Source organism: Homo sapiens, chromosome 17, assembly GCF_000001405.40.
Source record: "Homo sapiens chromosome 17, GRCh38.p14 Primary Assembly".
In the NCBI taxonomy this organism is placed as follows: domain Eukaryota; kingdom Metazoa; phylum Chordata; class Mammalia; order Primates; family Hominidae; genus Homo; species Homo sapiens.
This window is the reverse complement of record NC_000017.11, coordinates 79,172,017-79,190,012: the sequence shown is the minus strand read 5'-3', so window position 1 is coordinate 79,190,012 and position 17,996 is coordinate 79,172,017. Positions and strand designations below refer to the sequence as shown.

General features: G+C 58.1%; 1 protein-coding gene and 1 long non-coding RNA gene across 60 annotated transcripts in view, besides 3 other annotated features; one reads left to right on the top strand and one right to left on the bottom strand.

The window, feature by feature from the left end:
- The window catches only part of RBFOX3 (RNA binding fox-1 homolog 3), a 576,227-nt gene that overhangs the window by 475,559 nt on the left and 82,672 nt on the right, over positions 1 to 17,996 (top strand). Inside the window, exon 5 of one of the 58 annotated variants that reach the window (NM_001385820.1) lies at positions 10,214 to 10,348. The exons of the other annotated variants lie outside the window; for them this stretch is intronic. The gene's annotated coding sequence lies outside the window, so the exon portion shown is untranslated. The remainder of the gene's footprint in view (positions 1 to 10,213; positions 10,349 to 17,996) is intronic. 58 annotated transcript variants of the gene reach the window in all.
- Positions 1,767 to 1,926: a silencer, noted in NCBI's record as "silent region_9080". NCBI's record gives its function as "represses an Ori minimal core promoter by ATAC-STARR-seq in GM12878 lymphoblastoid cells {active_cell/tissue: GM12878}" and the evidence as "EXISTENCE:reporter gene assay evidence [ECO:0000049][PMID:35858748]".
- On the bottom strand, positions 3,731 to 6,744 carry LOC124904069 (uncharacterized). Of its 2 annotated transcripts, XR_007065926.1 has the most exons (3): positions 5,436 to 5,509; positions 4,958 to 5,061; positions 4,323 to 4,487 (listed from the first exon to the last, which is right to left on the bottom strand). It is a non-coding gene; the product is annotated as an uncharacterized LOC124904069 (long non-coding RNA). The 2 variants fall into 2 exon arrangements; XR_007065925.1 differs by lacking the exons at positions 4,958 to 5,061; positions 5,436 to 5,509 and adding an exon at positions 6,321 to 6,744 and having other exon boundaries at positions 3,731 to 4,487.
- Positions 5,856 to 6,736: an enhancer, noted in NCBI's record as "H3K4me1 hESC enhancer chr17:77179359-77180239 (GRCh37/hg19 assembly coordinates)". NCBI's record gives its function as "activates a minimal SCP1, AML or CMV promoter by ChIP-STARR-seq in naive H9 embryonic stem cells {active_cell/tissue: H9 hESC(naive)}" and the evidence as "EXISTENCE:reporter gene assay evidence [ECO:0000049][PMID:30033119]".
- Positions 12,130 to 12,809: an enhancer, noted in NCBI's record as "H3K27ac-H3K4me1 hESC enhancer chr17:77173286-77173965 (GRCh37/hg19 assembly coordinates)". NCBI's record gives its function as "activates a minimal SCP1, AML or CMV promoter by ChIP-STARR-seq in primed H9 embryonic stem cells {active_cell/tissue: H9 hESC(primed)}" and the evidence as "EXISTENCE:reporter gene assay evidence [ECO:0000049][PMID:30033119]".

Below are 17,996 nucleotides of genomic sequence, written 5' to 3'. Positions count from 1 at the left end.
CCTGGGTGGGCTGCGTGGAGCAGCGAGTGATATGGGTTTTCCTTGGCTGGTGCGATCCCTGCCCTGGCAGGAGCAAAGGCTGTCATCAGTCATGTCTGCAGTGGGGGCCCAACCATCCAAGGGCACTTCACTGGATACCCAGTCCGAGCTGGAGTCATCATCTCCAAGCAAATATACAACTTCCCAAGCCATTCAGGACTCTCTTTTCTGTAGCCATCTATGGTCTGGGCACAAGGGCACACATGCACAGGCTTGGGCAGGACAGGAGGGCTCGGGGCTGGTGGGTCAGCTGAGCACGGGGTGAGGGCCCAGGAAATTGGGCGCTGCATGGAAGATCAGCTAGGAACGCTGAGGGAGGGCTTCCTTGGTCTAGCAGCAGCTCCTCTCCTTGGCGTCATCACAGGGCTCAGCAACCCACTGAGTCCTCGCGACCTCCTGCCTAATGAGAAAGAGGAAATTCGAGATAATTGCTGCACAGACGGAGCGGTGGTGTGATTAGTAAACGCCCAAGCTATTGCAAATGACTATTACATTAACGGATTTGGTTTGGGGTTGATCCTGTTAGGAGAGAGAGCCAAGGGCTAACGACGAGCATGTTCACAGAAGGGCATGAGCCCAGCACAGTAGTCGAAGGGAAGAAAAGGGCTCCCATAAATCCAAGTTCCAAGTCTTGCCTTCTGGCCCAGACGCTGCCTCTAACTGGTTGTGTGACCTTGGACCACCTCTGTGATCCTAAAAGGGTCATCATATATCGAATGGGCATCATTACACCTTCCCTACCTAACTTGTGATGATCAGGTGAGATACATGAAGGCTCTTTGAAAAGGTTAGGAAAGCACTGAGCAGATACAAGGTATTGTTACAGTTAGCAATCAGTAATAATAAATTGCCATTCTCCCCCTTTGTGTGCTTCTGTTCCTGGGAAGTTTAAGCAAATGGCCAGGCTCTTGAGCCTTCAGATGAGAGACAGAAATCAAAGTGCCCCCCTCTTCCTTTGGCTTCTGTGGGATTCTGGGCCCAGTTTGCCAAACGGTGGCTTGGCCACAGCTGGCACTGAAGACCAAAGATCTGTTTCTCCCAGGCTCTGCTCAGCCTAGGCTGTCTCCTTGCCAGGAGCTCATGGCCCAGATGCAGCAGGAGCTTGCAACGAGCTTTCCAGGGCCGCAGCTTCCAAGGCCTCTTACCCACCGAGCCCTGGGGTGGAACATCACAGTGCTGGCTGCTTTCAGATGTTCCTTTTGCTCGGTGTAGAGCTCGCTCGCCTTCCACAGAAGAGGAGAAGGGAGAAGTCCTGGGGGCTCATTTAAAATAAATAAAGCTTGGCAACAGTGCGGAGTGGAAGGAGCAGAGTGAGCGGCACCCACAGCCCCTTCTCTGAGCGCATTCCTCCGGCTCCTGGGCCCCCGAGGGGAGAGGAACTTGCAAGAGAGAGATGTGCTTATAACTGCAACCCTGTGCAACTCCTGGCTCTGCCCATATATCTCAAGTGTGCCCTTCGCTTTCAGTCTCCCTGTATTTATTATGTTTAATTTTGCTGGGACATGGTTGTAAGTGAGACGGATGGACCCGAATGTGGCTGGCAAACGCCTCTTAATTAAACAGATAAATAAACTTCCTTTGCACGCCGATTTTTACTTTTGCTGCAGTCTCTGCTGGGGCCAGGGGGACAGTGCCAGTGGGTGGGGGACCCCCGCTGAGCCGGAAGGTGAGTGCTGGCCCCGGCAGCTGGGCTGGGCTTAGCTTTCCCTCTGCACTGCTGAGGACCCCTGGCAGAGGGAGGCAGAGGGGGTTGGGGGTGGGGAGCACCCCAGCAGCCCTTCCTCGCAGGCCAGCCGGTGAAGGTGGTGTGAGTGGGCCCTCTGCTGGCCACCTCCAGCGAGGCCTCGCCTGCCAGGGCTGCACCGACGGCTCATCCCTGGGCTTGCTTCACCCCTGCTTGCAGGGACCCTCTGCCGGCTTTTCTGCCCTTCTGGGGAGATTAAACAGGCCAGAACAAAGTGGAAGCAGCCCCCGACTCCTGATATAAGGAAGCCGCCTCCTCTGGGAATGTGAGAATTTCTACATTTTTTTAAAAAAAGGCTGACGAGTTTCCCATCCCCAAGCTGACCTTGCCCCATGGTGTCTGCCGGGTTTCCCATCCGCAGCCTGACCTTCCCCCATGGTGTCTGCTGGGTTTCCCATCCCCAGCCTGACCTTGCCCCGTGGTGTCTGCTGGGGGCATCCCATGAAAGCCTGAGTGGGGGCTTCTCCCTGACTCCAACCCTGTTGCCCTGGCTGCTGAATTGGGACATTAATTCCCCTGCAAAGTGTTCCATGGTGATACAGGACTCCAGCTGGTCAGAGTGGCTTCTTGGCTCTCCCCACACCCCATCACACACACACAGGCACGCACACATCCTCCCATCCCTGAGCCATGCCCACCCCACCCCACTGTGGAGATCTAGTTCTGCCACTCTGCCTCTTTCGTCCCCCAGTGCTCATGCCCAAGCCCAGGCCAAATACCCCAGGGCTGGGGCAGGAAGGTCTGGCTCTGCGGAAAGCACGATGTATTTGTCGATGAAGGCTCGGCTTGGCGCGGCCAAGCACAGCTGCAACCAGAGACTGTGAGCTCACTCCTTGTCCTGGGAGCGCTGCTGCCAAGCTGCACACTGTCCTCACGGCGCAGGGGAAGCCTGAGGATGGTCGGCCTGGGCGCCTGGAAGGGGAAAGAGGGGCAGGAGCATGAGGAATTCACCTCCCTTCCTCCCCTAAAGGGAGTGTGGAGTTGCTTCCTTTCTACTATGATTTGCCACTTGCCACCTTGGGAATTTCCAAAGGACATGGGTAGGGGTCAAAAGAAATACTCCCCCAAGTCATCTGACCACAGGACTCATTTGGCCCACCTTTTGTTAAAAACACAGGCCACCTTGGAGTCTAGTATTCCCCTGCACACCTTTTAGCAAATGCTCTCCCAGGGAGAATCCTGTGTGTCCATTTCACAGAGGTACACACTGAAGAGATTCAGGGCATCTGGCAAGGTTACGTGGGCCAGAATTTCCCAGGCAGGCACGCTCAGGGAAGCTGGGGAAGACACGCCCTGCCCAACTGGAGGAGAGGCAGTGCCTGCACCCTCCAAGGCCCCTGCCAGGGAAGGTGACATAGGATGGGGGCAGGAAGGAGCCAGGAGATCTCCAAAGCCTTGGAACCATCGGAACCTTCTGAGGTGCCTCCCTTGCCTGATATTTATAGTGGTGCCCAGGAGCGCAGAAATAATTACAGCTCAGTTCCTGCCTGCCTAACAAGGCCCTTCTCAGATTCAGGGCGAATGGGGTATTTTTTCTTGCCTCTTTTTTTTAAGTAGTGAATATTAGCACTGGAGTGACAGCTCTTCCCAGCACGCAGCCTCCCTCCGCCCCAGGAGCGGGGGCAGCACAGCCACCAGGAGCACAGGCTTCCCCCACCCCCTGCTCAGGGCCACCCACCCCAGTCCACAAGGCACCAGGGGCTCGGGAGGGCTGCATGGGGCCTGGAGAATCTGAAAAGCTTCGTACCGCCCTGGTGCCAGGTACTGGAGGTAGGAGGTGATGAGGGCATGGTTCCTGCCGGTGGGGTCCGCAGAGTCAGGCCTGCGCGACACTCTGAAACGATCACAGCGGAGCACTGAGGTGCGTGCTGTTCGCTAACTGGCTCGTGCTGAAGCACAGCGTAACAGCCCCTGTCCCAAGAAATAAGCCAAACACACACGTTCAGATCCTTTTTCTGGAGGTATTATTTTCATTCCATTCTGCTATTCTCAGTCCTCTCTCTCTGGAGCTGGGTGTGATGAGCCGCCTGATGGAGGCAGGTGTCCAGACATGCTCCTGGGCCCAGTGCAATCTGGAGGTGAGGCTGGAAGGCAGGTGGCTGGGCAGAGAGGCACACAGGTGACCAGATGCAGGGCTGCCAGAAGTGATGCAGATGCAGATAGTGGGGACCACCCTGGCTTTCTTTGGGCCAATGACTGAGCTCAGGGGTCCAGGAAACCTTCCCTGGCCACACCCCAGATCTGAGCTCTCCCTGTCCTGGGCTGTCAAAGCTCTCAGTACATTAGGCTGCAGTCTTCGTTTACAAGCTTGGTTTCCCCCACTAGACGGTGTGCTCACTCCAGGGCAGAGAACTTGATTTCTGCAGCCCCAGCACCGAGCACACTGTCTGCATATAGTGGGTTCTCAATAAGGAAAAACAGTAGCGTTGACTCAAAAAGTGGCTCTGTGTCAGGCATGGCTTAGGAAGCACTCCCAAATCCCTTTCTGGAGGGGATGAGGCTTGGATTCCACAGGAGATACTTGGTCATAATGGTCATAATGGCAAATTAATGAGCAAATGATTCACAGGCAGGGTGGATCTGGAGCCTGGGTTTCGGCTGAATGCTATGTGGCTGTCCCGAATTCCTGAGCATCCTCCAGGGAAGGTGCAGCAGGGCAGTGGTGACGGACAGGTGCCCAGAGAAGACAAAAGAGGGATGGCTTCTGGAACAAGCAAGAACAACCTGACTCAGGAGGGAGGCAGCAAGGGCCACTCCAGGGCACCACGCTCACGAGGAGCCCTTCTGCGAGGCTCAGGTGGCAAATGCTACAACCCACCTCATCTTCCTGGCCCAGGCATGCCCGGCCCTTGCGCTGGGACCCCCACCACTGTCCTAGGCTGGGAAACCAAGTTACTGACAGCAGGGAGGGCCTCATCAAGTCCATAGCCAAGACCCTGTGGAGACAGACCAGCCCCCTATCCTTGTCCTGTGCCAGCACCACCCCAGAGGGAACACAGAGCAGGATTGCAGGTCAGACCACACGGCTAGATGGCCAGCTCGCCTGCCTCGTCTCTCCCCTGAGCCTTCTCTCTTCCCCTGTCTGCCTCCCTCCCGGACTCCACATCCCAGCTCCTCTACGAAGAAGATGAACAAGGGGCACCTGAGAGAATGGTCCCAGGTGCCTGCACCTACCTGCCTTGTTCAAATGGAGCCTCCTAAACTGGGCGTGGAGAGGCCACCCTTCTCTCCCTCCCTTCCTTGTTCCCTCTTCCTCAATGGCCCTCAGGCCACGTGTCCTGCAGTGGGTGCAACAGGGATCTCAGACAACATCTGACCCATCTCTCGGGCTGGATGTGGAAACCAAGGCCCCAAGGGGACAATCGACCTTCCTGAGATCACACAGCAAGTGAGGGTCCGACATGACTGCCGGGCCAGCCATCTCCCCACTGCCAGGCGGCCCCAGGCCTGCCTCCCTCCAGCTCAGGGCTCACTGTCTGCAGTGAGAGGAGGGGAGTCACAAGTGCCCTAAGGTAGGACAGGTGCGTTCAGAATGGGTACTGGGTGCCTGGGATCTGCCCCTTTCCTGGAAGGCGTGAGGTTAGGCATGAGCCACTGGCTCTGCCTCTGACAGTGGCCACTGGCAGCCCATCCCTCTTGCAGCCAAGCTCACCTGTGGCTTATCCTGGTAAACTGAGACTGATCCACGGGGCCTCTGGTGAGTGTGGACTCGGGGCAGGCCAGTGGGTGTGTGTGTGGCCGCTGAAGCTGCAGGTGTGTGCACAGTCACAGTGGTGGAACAAGGGGCACTGCCGAGACCTCTGCCACATGCTGAATGGGGCAAGGAGGTGGGGACCTATGCACGCCTGTCCCGTGGGAGCGAAACACGTCAAGTCCAGTGTGTCTGGGTACAGGGAGGGGAGGATGCATTGTGGCCGGTGCCCGTGTCCCCCACCCCCATCTAAGTAGCCACAAGACCAGGTGCCTGTGGCAGGAGGCTGGGATGTATGATGGGGTCTGGGGGCCAGCAGGAGGGCAGGAGACGCTCCTGGAGGCTCTGGTTGGATTTCCAAGCCCTGGGCAGCCAGAGAAGCCTTCCCCAGCGCGGAAGCCTCTGCGTAGATGCCCTCGGATTACATCACCGACATCCCCGCCACTGAGCCGGCCTCCCTTAGGAAAGGCGCTTCTCTGAACGCGAAACAGGACGAGGCGCCTTCCGGTCGGTCGGCCGCAGAGCCGGCGGAGCGGCTCCTCCTCTCCGCAGCGGCCGGAGAACGGAGCGGGGGCAAAGGGAGATTCCAGACCCCCCAGGCCAGGAGCAAGTGCTGGCAACGGGGGGGAGGAGGGGCGCGCAGGGGCCCGAGCGTGGGAGGGCGCGAGGGAGGGCTGCCCCGGTGCCGGCGGGCGAGGGGTTAAGTGTGGGATCAGCTGTTGTGCCGTCGCTCCGGATTCTCTTCCCTCCGCGCGGGGCTCCGTTTGATGTTGGAGTACGCCAGGGACTCCCCCTCCCACCGCTACACACGCGCGCACACGCGCGCACTCACACACGCACACGCACCACTCTTTGCAGACAGGGCTCCGGAGGCTCCAAAGTGACTGACTCCTGCTCTCGCCCGCTCGCCCGATCTCTCGCGCACAGACTCTCTGGCCGTATTCTCGCGCGCGCTCTCTCCAGCCTCCCCGCCCGGGCAGGGGGAACACCGGGCAGAGGCGCGCCGCTCTCCTTTCGATGCCTCCCTCTTAAAGAGCGCCACGAGGGGGAGGGGAGGCCCAGAGGAGGAGGAGGAGAGAGACCGGGAGGGCGCCCGGGAGGCAGGGCGCGCGCACACTCCGAGGGACGCAGCGAGCGCAGAGCCGCCGCCGGGCGCCCCCCTGCCGCCCCATGCTGTGCTCCATGGCGAACTCGGGCTGCCTCCTGCTGTCCAACTCCGGCAGCATGCTCCCGCACTCCGTGCCCTGCCCGCCCGCCTTCCTCTACCTCCAACAGGTAAGCGGCCCCCCGCCCGGCCCCGGCCCCCGGCCCGGCGCACGTGCGCCCCGCGCTGCCGCCCACGCCCCGCACTTGGCCGCCTCTGCGCCGCCGCCGCCACCGGTGGCCCCCGCTGCGCTCCCCGCGTCATGGCGCCGGGGCTGGGGTAGGGGGAACTGCGCCCCTGCGCGGCGGCCGAGCGCGGGGGCGCCCAGGGCGCGCGCGGCGCGAGGCGGGGGGGCCGGAGTTTGGGGCGTCGCTCGCAACTTTTCCGAAGGCGCGGGAGGGGGCGGCGGGCGGAGTCTCCGGGGAAGCCCGAGGGGAGGGGGCGGGGGTTCTCGGCGCCCGGGTCACTTTGGGGAACTTCGCGCCGGGCCGCTGGGGACTCGGGGCGGGGAGCGGGGCATCCTCCCTGGCAGCGTCGGGAAAGCCGGGGGGCGCGCAGAGGTGGCGGCGGGGGCGCCGAGCTCTGCTGCAGCGCAGACCGCGCGCCGGGCCTCCGGGGAGGCGGGGGAGGTGGGCCACCCGCCTGGCGAGGGAGGCCCCAGGAGCTCTGGCCGGGGAGGGGGCTGGGGCCAGACTTTTGCAATCTTGGGGGCTGCGCAGGAAGCTCCGGCTGGCGAGTTGGGGTTGGGTGGGGGCAGGAAAGTCGGCGACTCTGAGCCACCAGATCCCCAGGATGCCCCGTGGGGAGGTGCGCACAGAGCATCAGCAGCCGCCTGCCCGCCGGCCGGCCGGGGCGTTGGGGGAGGGGACGGGGGTCCTGCGCTGCCACCCAATGCGGAATTAGTGCAGTCCCAGGCCTGCACTGGGGACAGAGGGGGACTCCCTCGTCTCCCCCAGGCCCCTCGGCCTCTGTGGGCCGCAGTTCCCGGCGCCAGCCTGGCCCGGGCTTCAATACCCTGGCCTCACCCACCCTGGCTGCCCACATCTCTGGGCCTGTCTCTTCCTCCTGGCGCTGTGGCGTCTGCCTTGTTTTCGGTTCCCACCCTCACCCTCTGCTTGGGCCTGCAGGGGTGGGGGCGGCTGCTGGAGGAGCCTGGTGGGATTGTGAGCACTTCAGGCTCATCCTGGGGCCTGCAGGGCCCAGTGAGAGGGGTTCCCATAGGACGCGTTCTGCACCCCGTGTTGGGGGCTTCGAGACTGGAGAGAGAGAGAGTACAGGGTGCCCACCCCAAGGAACTTGGCCAGGCCAGGCCAAGAGTCTCCATGAAGATGTCTCCCCACCCCCGCTTCCATGCACACGTTGGAGGAGAAATGGAGAAGAGTGATTGTGTGTTTGTGTGTGTGTGTGTGTGTGTGTGTGTGTGTGTGTGTGTTTCTTGGAGACAATGAGAGACTCCAGGGGTCTGGGCCTTTGGGTGATGGGTTCTTACCCGTTTGTGCCCCTTGGCCCTCCAAGGAGCTATAGAAGGTGGTTTAAGGTGGAGCAATGGACAGAGAAGGCAAAGATGGGACCTTCCGAGCTGGCCCAGGGCAGCTAGCCCCTGGGCACTTGGGTCAGCCCGTTACAAGGGCCCATGCATGAGGGACTGCCAAACGTAGCAGCCGCAGAGGGACAGGGGAACTGTGTGATGGTCAGGAGCAGAGGCTGGTCCAGGAGCAGAGGGTGGCCAGCAGTGGCAGAGGGTGGCCGGCAGTGGCAGAGGGTGGCCGGCAGTGGCCTGCAGCCCAGGGCCCTTGATCTTTGGTGCCATCTTCCCAGGACCACCTGTGACATCTGGGGACTCCTGGACACAGCCCAGGAGCCACTGGGGAGCCCCCAAACTGACAGGCAGGAAGTCATCCAATCCCAGGCCATGGCCATTGCCCTAAATTCCCAGTTGACACTGAATCACAGGGAGTCAGGATAGGCCTCCGAGGTCAGGTTCCCAGCCCCTCCCGGTTTTCCATGAGCATAGGACTGACTTGGGAATCTCTGGGGTGGCCAGGTCAGGTTATTGGGGACAGATCTGCTGTACAGCCACCCAGGCATGGCAGGAATGTCCCAGGCAGCAGGAAGCGTAGCTCTGGGTTTCTGCAGATAGAGTGTAGGATTTAGAGTAAGGGTCCTGGTCTGGAGACCAATCCATGGTTTATTGATTCTGTTGTCTTAGTTATCACCACTCTGAACCTCAGTGTCTTCCTTGAATGACATAGTCCTCACTGGCTGAATGTGAGGGCTGAGTTAAGATGAAGTAGAGGCAAGCCTCCGAAAAATGGCAGCCACACATTTGGCGCTGTCTCGGTAGAATTAGACCAGCGCTCATAGTTGGGGTGAGTCCACCAACATGACCCACGGGGAAGACACCCCGATTTCTCCAGAGCTAGGTGAATGCATCCCTGACTTGTGGCATTTGGAGCTTTCTGTAGGGGCAGTGGGAAGGCAAAAAGATGTCCACGGAGCCATAGCCATCCCGAATTGTCCCTGGGAAAGCCAGAGCCTGCTGTTGCCCCGGGCTTTGAGCATTCACTTTCCTTCCCTCGCCCGCGGCTGTTCTGCTGGGGTGGTTGGCCATGTGTCTCGGTGGACTCCGGAAAGGTCTAGAATGCAGCCATTTCCTGGCTATTTGTGGGTGTATGTTTTTAGGTGAGCACACACAGCTGGGGCGGTCCAGAACCGTTAAGAAACAAATAACGACATTTAGTTTGGGAACCCGCTTATCCCAAACCACCTTTGGAATGAGCCAGAGCCTGCAGCAGCCCCCGGAGGTAAAGGCCACAGGAGGAGGGGCCTAGGGCCATACCCGGCCAGGCCTCTAGAAATGAGAGCCTGTGGTGCTCCAGCCTCCCAGGTGGGGGCTGCAGGTCCTCTGCGTGAGTGTTGGCACCATATGTAGGCTGTACATTCAATCTCAACAGCACATTTGATAACAAGAGCGGGAGCAAAAGACGTGAAATCAAGCAAGACAGGAGACGTAGTTTGAGGCACATTAAGATGCAGCATTTAAACAGGCTTTCTAAGCCTATAGTCTTTCACACTGGAAATTACCAACTAAAACCTCACCCAGCGGAATTCCGTTCTACTGAAGCATGAGCCTTTTCCTGCTGCCTTGGGTTGGACCCTAGGTAGGCTGGGGATGGGGTGTGTCCCTCCTGAGACACAACAGTTCTGTGATTAATTAGAGGCACTTGTTGTTGGTCCCTCTGTCTTCTCAGCCCCTCTCCCAGCAGCGGAGGTGATATTTCTGAGTTCCGACCATCCCGGGATGATTTCGGATCATCTGACACCAGGAGAACTCCAGCTGTGCATTGGGCTCTGGTGTTTGTTAAGAGCTCATGAGGGGTGACCCTGGGCCACACTCACTTCATGCCCTTTGAAGCTTTCCTGCCCACTCAGCCCACCTCCAGGAGCCCCACTTGGGCGCCGGCCTAGCTCCCTGAAGGGTAGCCCCGTGCCGTGGTCCCCCAACATCTGACCCCTCCTAGGAACCCTGAAGCTTTTGTTGCTGGTGCATGATGGCCAGTGAGGAGGGTTGGGGCTGATACTGGTCACCTTTCAGGGCAAGAAGGAGCTCATCTGAAAATCTAGACCATCAGCAGGACTCTCTGGGAGGCCCTGGCCTGGGATCCAGTGGACCAAGTTTGAGAGGATAGGAGGAAAAAACCCCAAGCTCGAAAAATGGGATTTTGTCACGGTAATTACTTTATTATTAAACTGCAGTCTCCTATAAAAGAGAATCTTATTCCATCCTATTGCAAGCCAGTAAATGGCTCCGGGGGAGAGGGCTGTGAGTGCCTTCAAGTATTGTAAGGGGAGGGGAGGGGGCTGGCCGGGGGAGAGGGACTGGCCCTGAGAGGACCCAGGGTCTTCCTGGGGGACGCGTCGTGAATTCCGTTGCTTTTGCTCTCCGTGTGTGCTCAATCAAGGTGAAATCACAGATAGTCTCCCTTGCTGAGGTAAACATCACCAGGCACCGGAAGCTTCCGTGGAGGATGCGGCGTTTCCGAGCGGCTTCACGGTGCCCAGCAATTGCTTCTTGGAGTTGTTGATGGCAGAGCACGTTCCCTCTGGTTGTGGAACCCAAAGGCTCCGCCGAGGGGCAGGGGGATTCTAGGGTCTGTTCTGAGATTCATTAGGAGGCACTGTTCTTATTAATAATCATTCTCTCTTCCCTCTAAGGTAGCGAGGCTGCTAATCACAGGCATTTTTAATCAGGATTAATTACTGTGGCAGACGTAGCACCACCCCTTGCACCTTGCGTTTAGTCTCTGTTCCCTGGGCTGTTGATGCTTCCCCTGTTGACTTGGTGGGATTCCAGGAACCCCGTCTGAGACACGCTGGCTCGCGGGTCAGCATGGGTGGCTAGAGAGTATCCCACCACTGGCCAGCGGAGGGAGGAGGGCACTGAACAGCAGCTCGTGCACCCGCGGCAGCATCCATTGCTGCCCAGGTCTGGTCTGCTGGCTGCAGCCACATCCGAAAAATTGTCCTGTTCACTGGAGAATTTAACCAGACAAGTAGTTGAGGTCGGGTGATGTTTATTCTGAATGAACCCACGCAGCGGTCCTGCGCCCTCACTCCCTGGGAATGATTGGGGGGAAAGGATGGCACTTGGTCCTTGCTTTGAGCCACGCATCCGTACAGGTGAGACCTCTTTACCCTGATGTCATTTGGTTACTGAAGTAGCTCGGTTACATTTGTGGGTTCTTCCCCAGTTTCATTCCTTGGCAGCTGACGTTTGTTCTGGAATCTGCTGAGGGTGTGGACATGCATGTTTTCAGTTGGAGAAACCGAGGCACTGGGAGGTTAGGTCACGTACTACCTCGGGAAGCTGCTGAGAAGCAGAACCTGGATTCCAGCCCAGGCAGCCAGATTCCAGAATTGGGGCTCGAGTCCATGTCGCTTTCTCCTGAACAACGAAGATTCAGGAAGTTCTGGTCCTTTTCCAACCCCTTTTCTTGGCCATGTGCAAAAGAAAACATGCATTATCTGGAGGCTTCTTGAGGCTTAAGCTCTTTCTTGGCTTTTCCTGCAAGTCTTTAGCCTGATCTCCCCTGAACCCTGACACCCAGCGAAGTTTAGGAGATTCCTTTGGGTTCAGAAAAGCGGAAGGGTCCTGTCTCGGAAACCTCCACATGGTGTCTTGTTCCGTGGGGTGAGTGAGTTTCTCTGAGCAGGGAGCTCTGGCTGGCTGGACACAGGATAAGCATGGCTGGTGGACGTGGCGGCGGGGAAGGAGCCCGTAGGAGCCCGGCAGTGATGGCCGAGGAGAAAGCTCCGGCCCTGGACACAGATGGGGGCTGCTCGGTGGAGGATCGGCGGGTTGCTCAGTGTTGAGACTCGGCGGGGCATGTGGGCTGTGCGCAGCCAGCAGCCTCGGACCTCCAACTTCCCTGGGGGCCGTCTCTGTCCAGAGACTGGGGCTCCTCCCAACGTGGACAAATGTGTGTTTCTCAGGGGCTGGAGAGGGCCGGGGCCAGGGATGGTCCAGGCAATGGGGAGCAGCTAACTCTGCGCTTGATTGAGGGTGGTAGGATTTTTCAGGTCCCTTAAAGAGGCTGCAAAACCTCATCCTGATGGCTGAGCAGACTAAGGTTTGAATCATGTACCAGTTCCCAGGAACTACTAGTAAAATCTCCCCGACCCCTGCCCATGGAGGGTCTAGGAAGCGGGTCCACCTGCACCCAGGCTCTGGGATGGACATGGGAAGAATGCCCATCCCGACCTGTCCCACCTGAGGACCTGGGCTTGGTGGGCAGCATGGGTGTGCCAGTGTGCCCCCTGGCTCTCCAACCGGTATGGGCCAGAGGAGCAGGTTGGGCTCGCAGAGGGGGGTAAGCTGACGGCCATTCGGCATGCTGGGAGGTTAGCAGAGGGCAGGGGAGAACGCTGCAGCCATGCAATGAATGTGCCTCCCGCCTCTCCTCTCCAGCCTGGCACAGCGGGGTGTCTGCTGCCCGCTAGACCTGCAGGGCAGACGCTGAGCCACACAACTTGGGAAGCACAAACGGCTGCCGTCCTTGGAGGAGGTGGAGGCCAAGATAGCCCACGTGCCCTTCTGTCTCCTGTCCTCTGGTCCTGGGGACACAACCCAAAGGTGGCTTAAAGCAGAATATCAGGTTCCAAGGCTGGGGAGAGGGCGGGGGGGGAGAGGAGGAGGCCAGTGGTGGCCTTGGGCCAGCTCTGGGGAGGTGCTTGCAACCCCTGGCACCCAGCTCAGCCCAGGCTAGGCCCATGTGGCACCTGGGCCAGGACAGACAGTCCCATGGGCAGGCGTCCAGAGGGAGGTCCGGAGCTCCTGGTGGTGTGGGACCCAGGGGGCATAGTGGGGACTAGGGGAGGCCAGTGGATTCCGACCCAGACCGGGACAGCAGCTGGGACCTCCGTGAAGGAGATTACAGGTCACCGTCTGTCTCTTCTCTTGGCTTCCTTCTCTGGAGCACCTGTCTCGGAGCTTCCTAACCGGCCTTAACCCTTTTTCTTCTGCCTTTATGATCAGCTGTGGCCCCTAGAATTTTCCATGCTTTTAATCTTCTCCCTTTTCACCTTTTTCTTCCCTCCCTGCCTAATTTCTATTCTCTCTGCCACGGTCATTTTTTTTTTCTCTGCTTCTCTCCTTCAGGGAGAGCCACCACTACTTCCTCCCGGAAGATTCCAGCCCCTCCTCATCCCCCAGGCTCTAACTAGGCCCCTGGGAAACCCCCTCCAGCCAACCCATCCACCAGGCAGACTTGGCTTGTCGGGGGCTGTGTGTATCTTGCAAATCGCATTACTCGAGACCAGAAGGACTGACTCCGACTTCTTGTGTCACCAGCGCAGCTGGAATATGGCCATTGGTTTCACAGTCCCTCCGGGGCAGCGAGTTCGGCTCTGGAAGGAGACCCAGTTGGGGCTGGGGGGCTTGGGCCTGGGCAGGAAGGCTGGGACTACTCGGCTGAGCTGCTGGGCTCATGCCATGGGCCCTGCTTGGGGGGTGCTGGGGGCTCTGGTGCCAGCAGGTCCAGCTTGAACTGTGGACAGTGGGTCCCTTACCAGCTCAACAGAGATGGGCCCGACAGCCACAGAAGGGCAATGGAGCAAGTCTTGTCTCTGCTGGGCCCAGACCTCTGTGGGGCAGGCAGGGTCTTTGTATCCAAGGGCCATGCCCTCGCCCTGGGGTCCCTGCACAGCTCAGGGAATCCACAGAAGAGGAGAAGGCAAAGAGGTGGGGCGTCACCGTCTCCAGAGGACCCCCTTCCGCAAATTCCTCCTGGAGCTGCCGTTTGGGCCAAGCACCACAGTAGGCCCTGAGTTTAGAGTCCAGAGTAAAGGACCCTGTCCTGCCCTTCCTGGGGTTCACAGACACAACTCAGTCACAGAAATTGGTCCCCAGGGTGACAAGCACATCTCCCCGGCACTGGCTGTGAGGGTGTATGCGAGCCCCCAGGTGGTCAGAGAGAGTGGGGAGTCCACCAGCCGTCTTGCCCTTCCAGCCGGGGCGTCTGTGTCTAAGCCTCTGAGGCAGGGTTTTACATCTTCTCTCCAGAGAGCTTTTGGGGCTGCAGAGGCTACTGCGCCCCGCAGCTCGGACCTGCTGCCCACCACCAATCCAGGCTTTCTGAACAGCCTCTTAATCACCCTCAGAGGCGCCACCCCAAGAGCCGGCAACTCGGGCGTGCCCAGCTTCTGAGCTGTGGTGAGTCAGCTTCAAGCATCTGACCCTGGGGAGCTCGTCCAGGGAGCACTGGGGAGCCAGGGCAGCGGGGCAGGAGAGGGGTGGTCTAGGCAGTGTGTCTGCCAGGCCCTGGACCGCCTGGAGACAGGAAGAGGGCTGCTTCATCACACTCCAGTGGGCAGCACGCCCGCGGGAAAGGACCCCAGTCACCCCACCCTCGGCCAGTGCCCACACCGGGAGATCCCAGGAGAGTGACTCCATGCCAGCCTTGGGAGTGGTCATAGGTCCGTGTCCATCTGAAGCCGTTATGACAGGGACTCCAGAGGAATGGGATGGGTGGGGTAGTCTGCTGTCCTGGGCCCTTCTGGTGACCAGCCTGGTGGCCTAGCGTGAGCTCCCTGTCCCTGGAGCCTCAGTTTCCTTATGTGAAAGAGCGAGGATGCCAGTTGGGAAATGACAGGTGCTCAGGGTCAGGGACCTCATGCTGCCCAAGCGCTGTTCAGCCATGTGTCCTTTGGCCATCGCCAGGTACTCCCACCTGCGTGTCAGACCCCCATGAGTCACCGCTGCCCTGGCGGAGTTATCATGTGGGTGGGGAAGGGAGATAGAGTGTCACTAAAGAGGCAGATAGACTTGCCAGGTATGGAGGAAGAGGAAGGAAGAGGCAGGAGGGGCTGGGGCATGCCTGGGGGTTGGCACGGGGGCCTCGGAGAGGGGCAGAGGAGGCCCCGAGCTGAGGCCTGCAAGCAGGGGAAGGAGGAACCGTTCCAGGCAGAGGCCACTGTGGATGAAGGTGCATTTTGCTGGGATTCGTGGCTGTACCCTGCAAGGGGACGCTCAGCTCTCCTGTGCCCAGGTCGCCTACTCCTAGGCCTCAGTCTCACTTAGACAAACGTCACCTGCTCCTCACTGTGCCGGGCCCTGTGCTAAGTGGGGCAAGTGTGTTGTGTGTGCGTCAGTGTATGTGTGCGTGTGAATGCATTGTGTGCATGTGTCTGTGTGTGTGCAAGTGCATGTGAGTGTGCATTGTGTGTGAGTGGTTGTGTGCATTGGGTGTGTGTCAGTGCATGTAAGCGACTGCATTGTGGATGTGTGTCAGTGTGAGTGGTGTGTGCATGTGTCAATGTATGAGTGCATGTGAGTGTGCATTGTGTATCAGTGTGTGACTGTGCATGTGTCTGTGAGTCGGTGAGAGTGCATTGTGGACATGTGTCAGTATGCGTGTGTGACTGCATTGTGTGCATGTGGCGTATGTGATATGCATTGTGTCAGTGTGTGTGAGTGCATGTGTGCGTGTCTGAGTGTGAGAGTACATTGTGGATGTGTGTGTGTGCGCATGTGTCTGTGTGCACGTGTGGCTGCATTGTGTGCGTGTGTCTGTGTGCATGTGAGTGAATGCATTGTGTGCATGTGGCATGTATGTGAGTGCATGTGAGTGTGCATTGTGTGTGTGCCTGTGTGTGTGGGACTGACCATAGGGCAAGGCAGAGGACAGCTAAGTGATAGTGAGCACTTCGTCCCTGCCCCAGGAAACCTTCTACCAGGTGTTTTCACCCTGGAGGTTTCCCTGGTCCCCACCACCAGGCCTGGGGAGAGGCCCTGTTCTCCCCATTTGGGACTGAGACGCTCGCCGTTTTCCTCTGTGTCTCCTGGTGTAGCTAATAAGCGGATGGGACTTCACAAGGAACTAGACCAACAAATTCAGGGGAAGCAAAAGGAAACAGAAGATCCAGTGACCCTGGAGTCAAGGGTGACTAAGAGGTCGCTGACACCCCCACCCCCCACCCCCAGCAGGGCTCCACTTCAGCACGTGGCGTGTGCAAAGCTCTGTACTCAGCGTGGGGAGAGGGTCTCAGAATGACCCATGGAGAGTCCATTCCGATAGGTGGATGATGTAAAAAATGAAGCCATCTCCAGCTGCATGGCAAGACACGGTGGGAGAAGGCCTGGGGTAAAATCAGCAAAGTCTGAGATCCAGGGGTGGCTCCAGCTCACCATTTTCCTCCCAGGCCCCCTGCCCCATCACCCAGTGAGCGGACGGGATGGGGTCAGAGCCACCTAGACCCGCTGGCGCATCCAGTGCCGTGCCGTCACTGCCAAGCCACTGTGTGTTTTGGAAGGTTGACCGGGAAGATCAGCTAAAGGCATCAGGGGCATTTAACTGGGATCTTAGCTGATCATCTTCAAAAGTCTGCAGGTGGGCCCCTTAGAGAGAATAGGCCCTCCCCACCAGGCAGCACAGGGCTAGCAGGACTAGAGGGTGGGATGGCAGTAGGAAGACGACCTCCAAGGGCGTCTCCAGTGTTAATGCCTTTAGCATGAGCTGTCTCATGAGGTGTAAGTTCCCCATCACCAGAAGAATTCAGCAGAGGCTGGCTGGCTCTGTGAAAGGCTCCAAAGCAACGCTGTCAAATGGAAATACAGTGCTTGTCACAGGGAAGTTTACATTTTCTAGTAGTATGTACGTATGTATGTATGTATGTATTTATTTATTTATTTGACAGTCTCGTTCTGTCTCCCAGGCTGGACTGCAGTGGTGCAATCTCGGCTCACTGCAACTTCTGCCTCCTGGGTTCAAGCGATTCTCGTGCCTCAGCCTCCCAAGTAGCTGGGATTACAGGCGTGCGCCACCACACCCGGCTAATTTCTTGTATTTTTAGTAGAGATGGGGTTTCACCATGTTGGCCAGGCTGGTGTCAAACTCCTGACCTCAGGTGATCCACCCACCTCGGCCTCCCAAAGTGCTGGAATTACGGGCATGAGCCACCTCACCCGTCTGGTAGCCATTTTTAAAAGGTGAAAAGAAACAGATGAGATGAATTTCAATCATACATTTTGTTTAACCCAGCATAGCTCAAATCTTATCCCCCAGAATAATCAGGATGAGATAAACTATGAGAGATCGTTAACATTCTTGTGTCTGTACTGTCTTTGAGATTGGGTGTAGATTTTACACAAACAGAATATCTCTGTTGAGACAAGCCACGTTTCCAGGACCCATAGTCATATGGGTCTCCTGGTTAACGTACTGGCCGATCTAGAACATTCTTTTCTGTTGGACACAGCAACTCTAGGGCTCTGATACTCCCTCTGGTCCTGCAGTGAGGAGAGCCAGCTAGAAGCGCAGACCCTCCGGCTCCCCAAGCCGCCTCCCTTGGAATCGCCATCAGATGGAGGCCCAGGGAGTCACGCTGCTCTAGAACATGGGGAGCACCAGGGGGACGTGGACAGGGTGGCCTGGGAGAAACTCCCATGACCACAGGCCTCAGACCAGACTCAGACCGGTCCCCTCCCAGCTCCTGCACCAGGCAACAACACGCTGTGTCTGTGACAAAGGTTTCACCTACCTGTGGCAAAGTGGGCAAAATCAGAATAATGTAGTCATGGTTTTCATAAAGATGTTTACTTTTTGTGTTGAAATGCCCATTTTTGTGATAGTGATATCTGCTGTTCATTTTTTAAATGTCCTCATTTGGGAAAATAAAAGGTTGGCGTTTTTTTCTTTTTCTCTTTTTTTTTTTTTTTTTTTTTGAGACGGACTCTCACTCTGTCGCCCAGGCTGGAGTGCAGTGGTGTAATGTCGGCTCACTGCAACCTCCACCTCCCGGGTTCAGGCAATTCTCATGCCTCAGCCTCCCGAGTAGCTGGGATTACAGGCGTGCACCACCACCCCTGGCTAATTTTTATA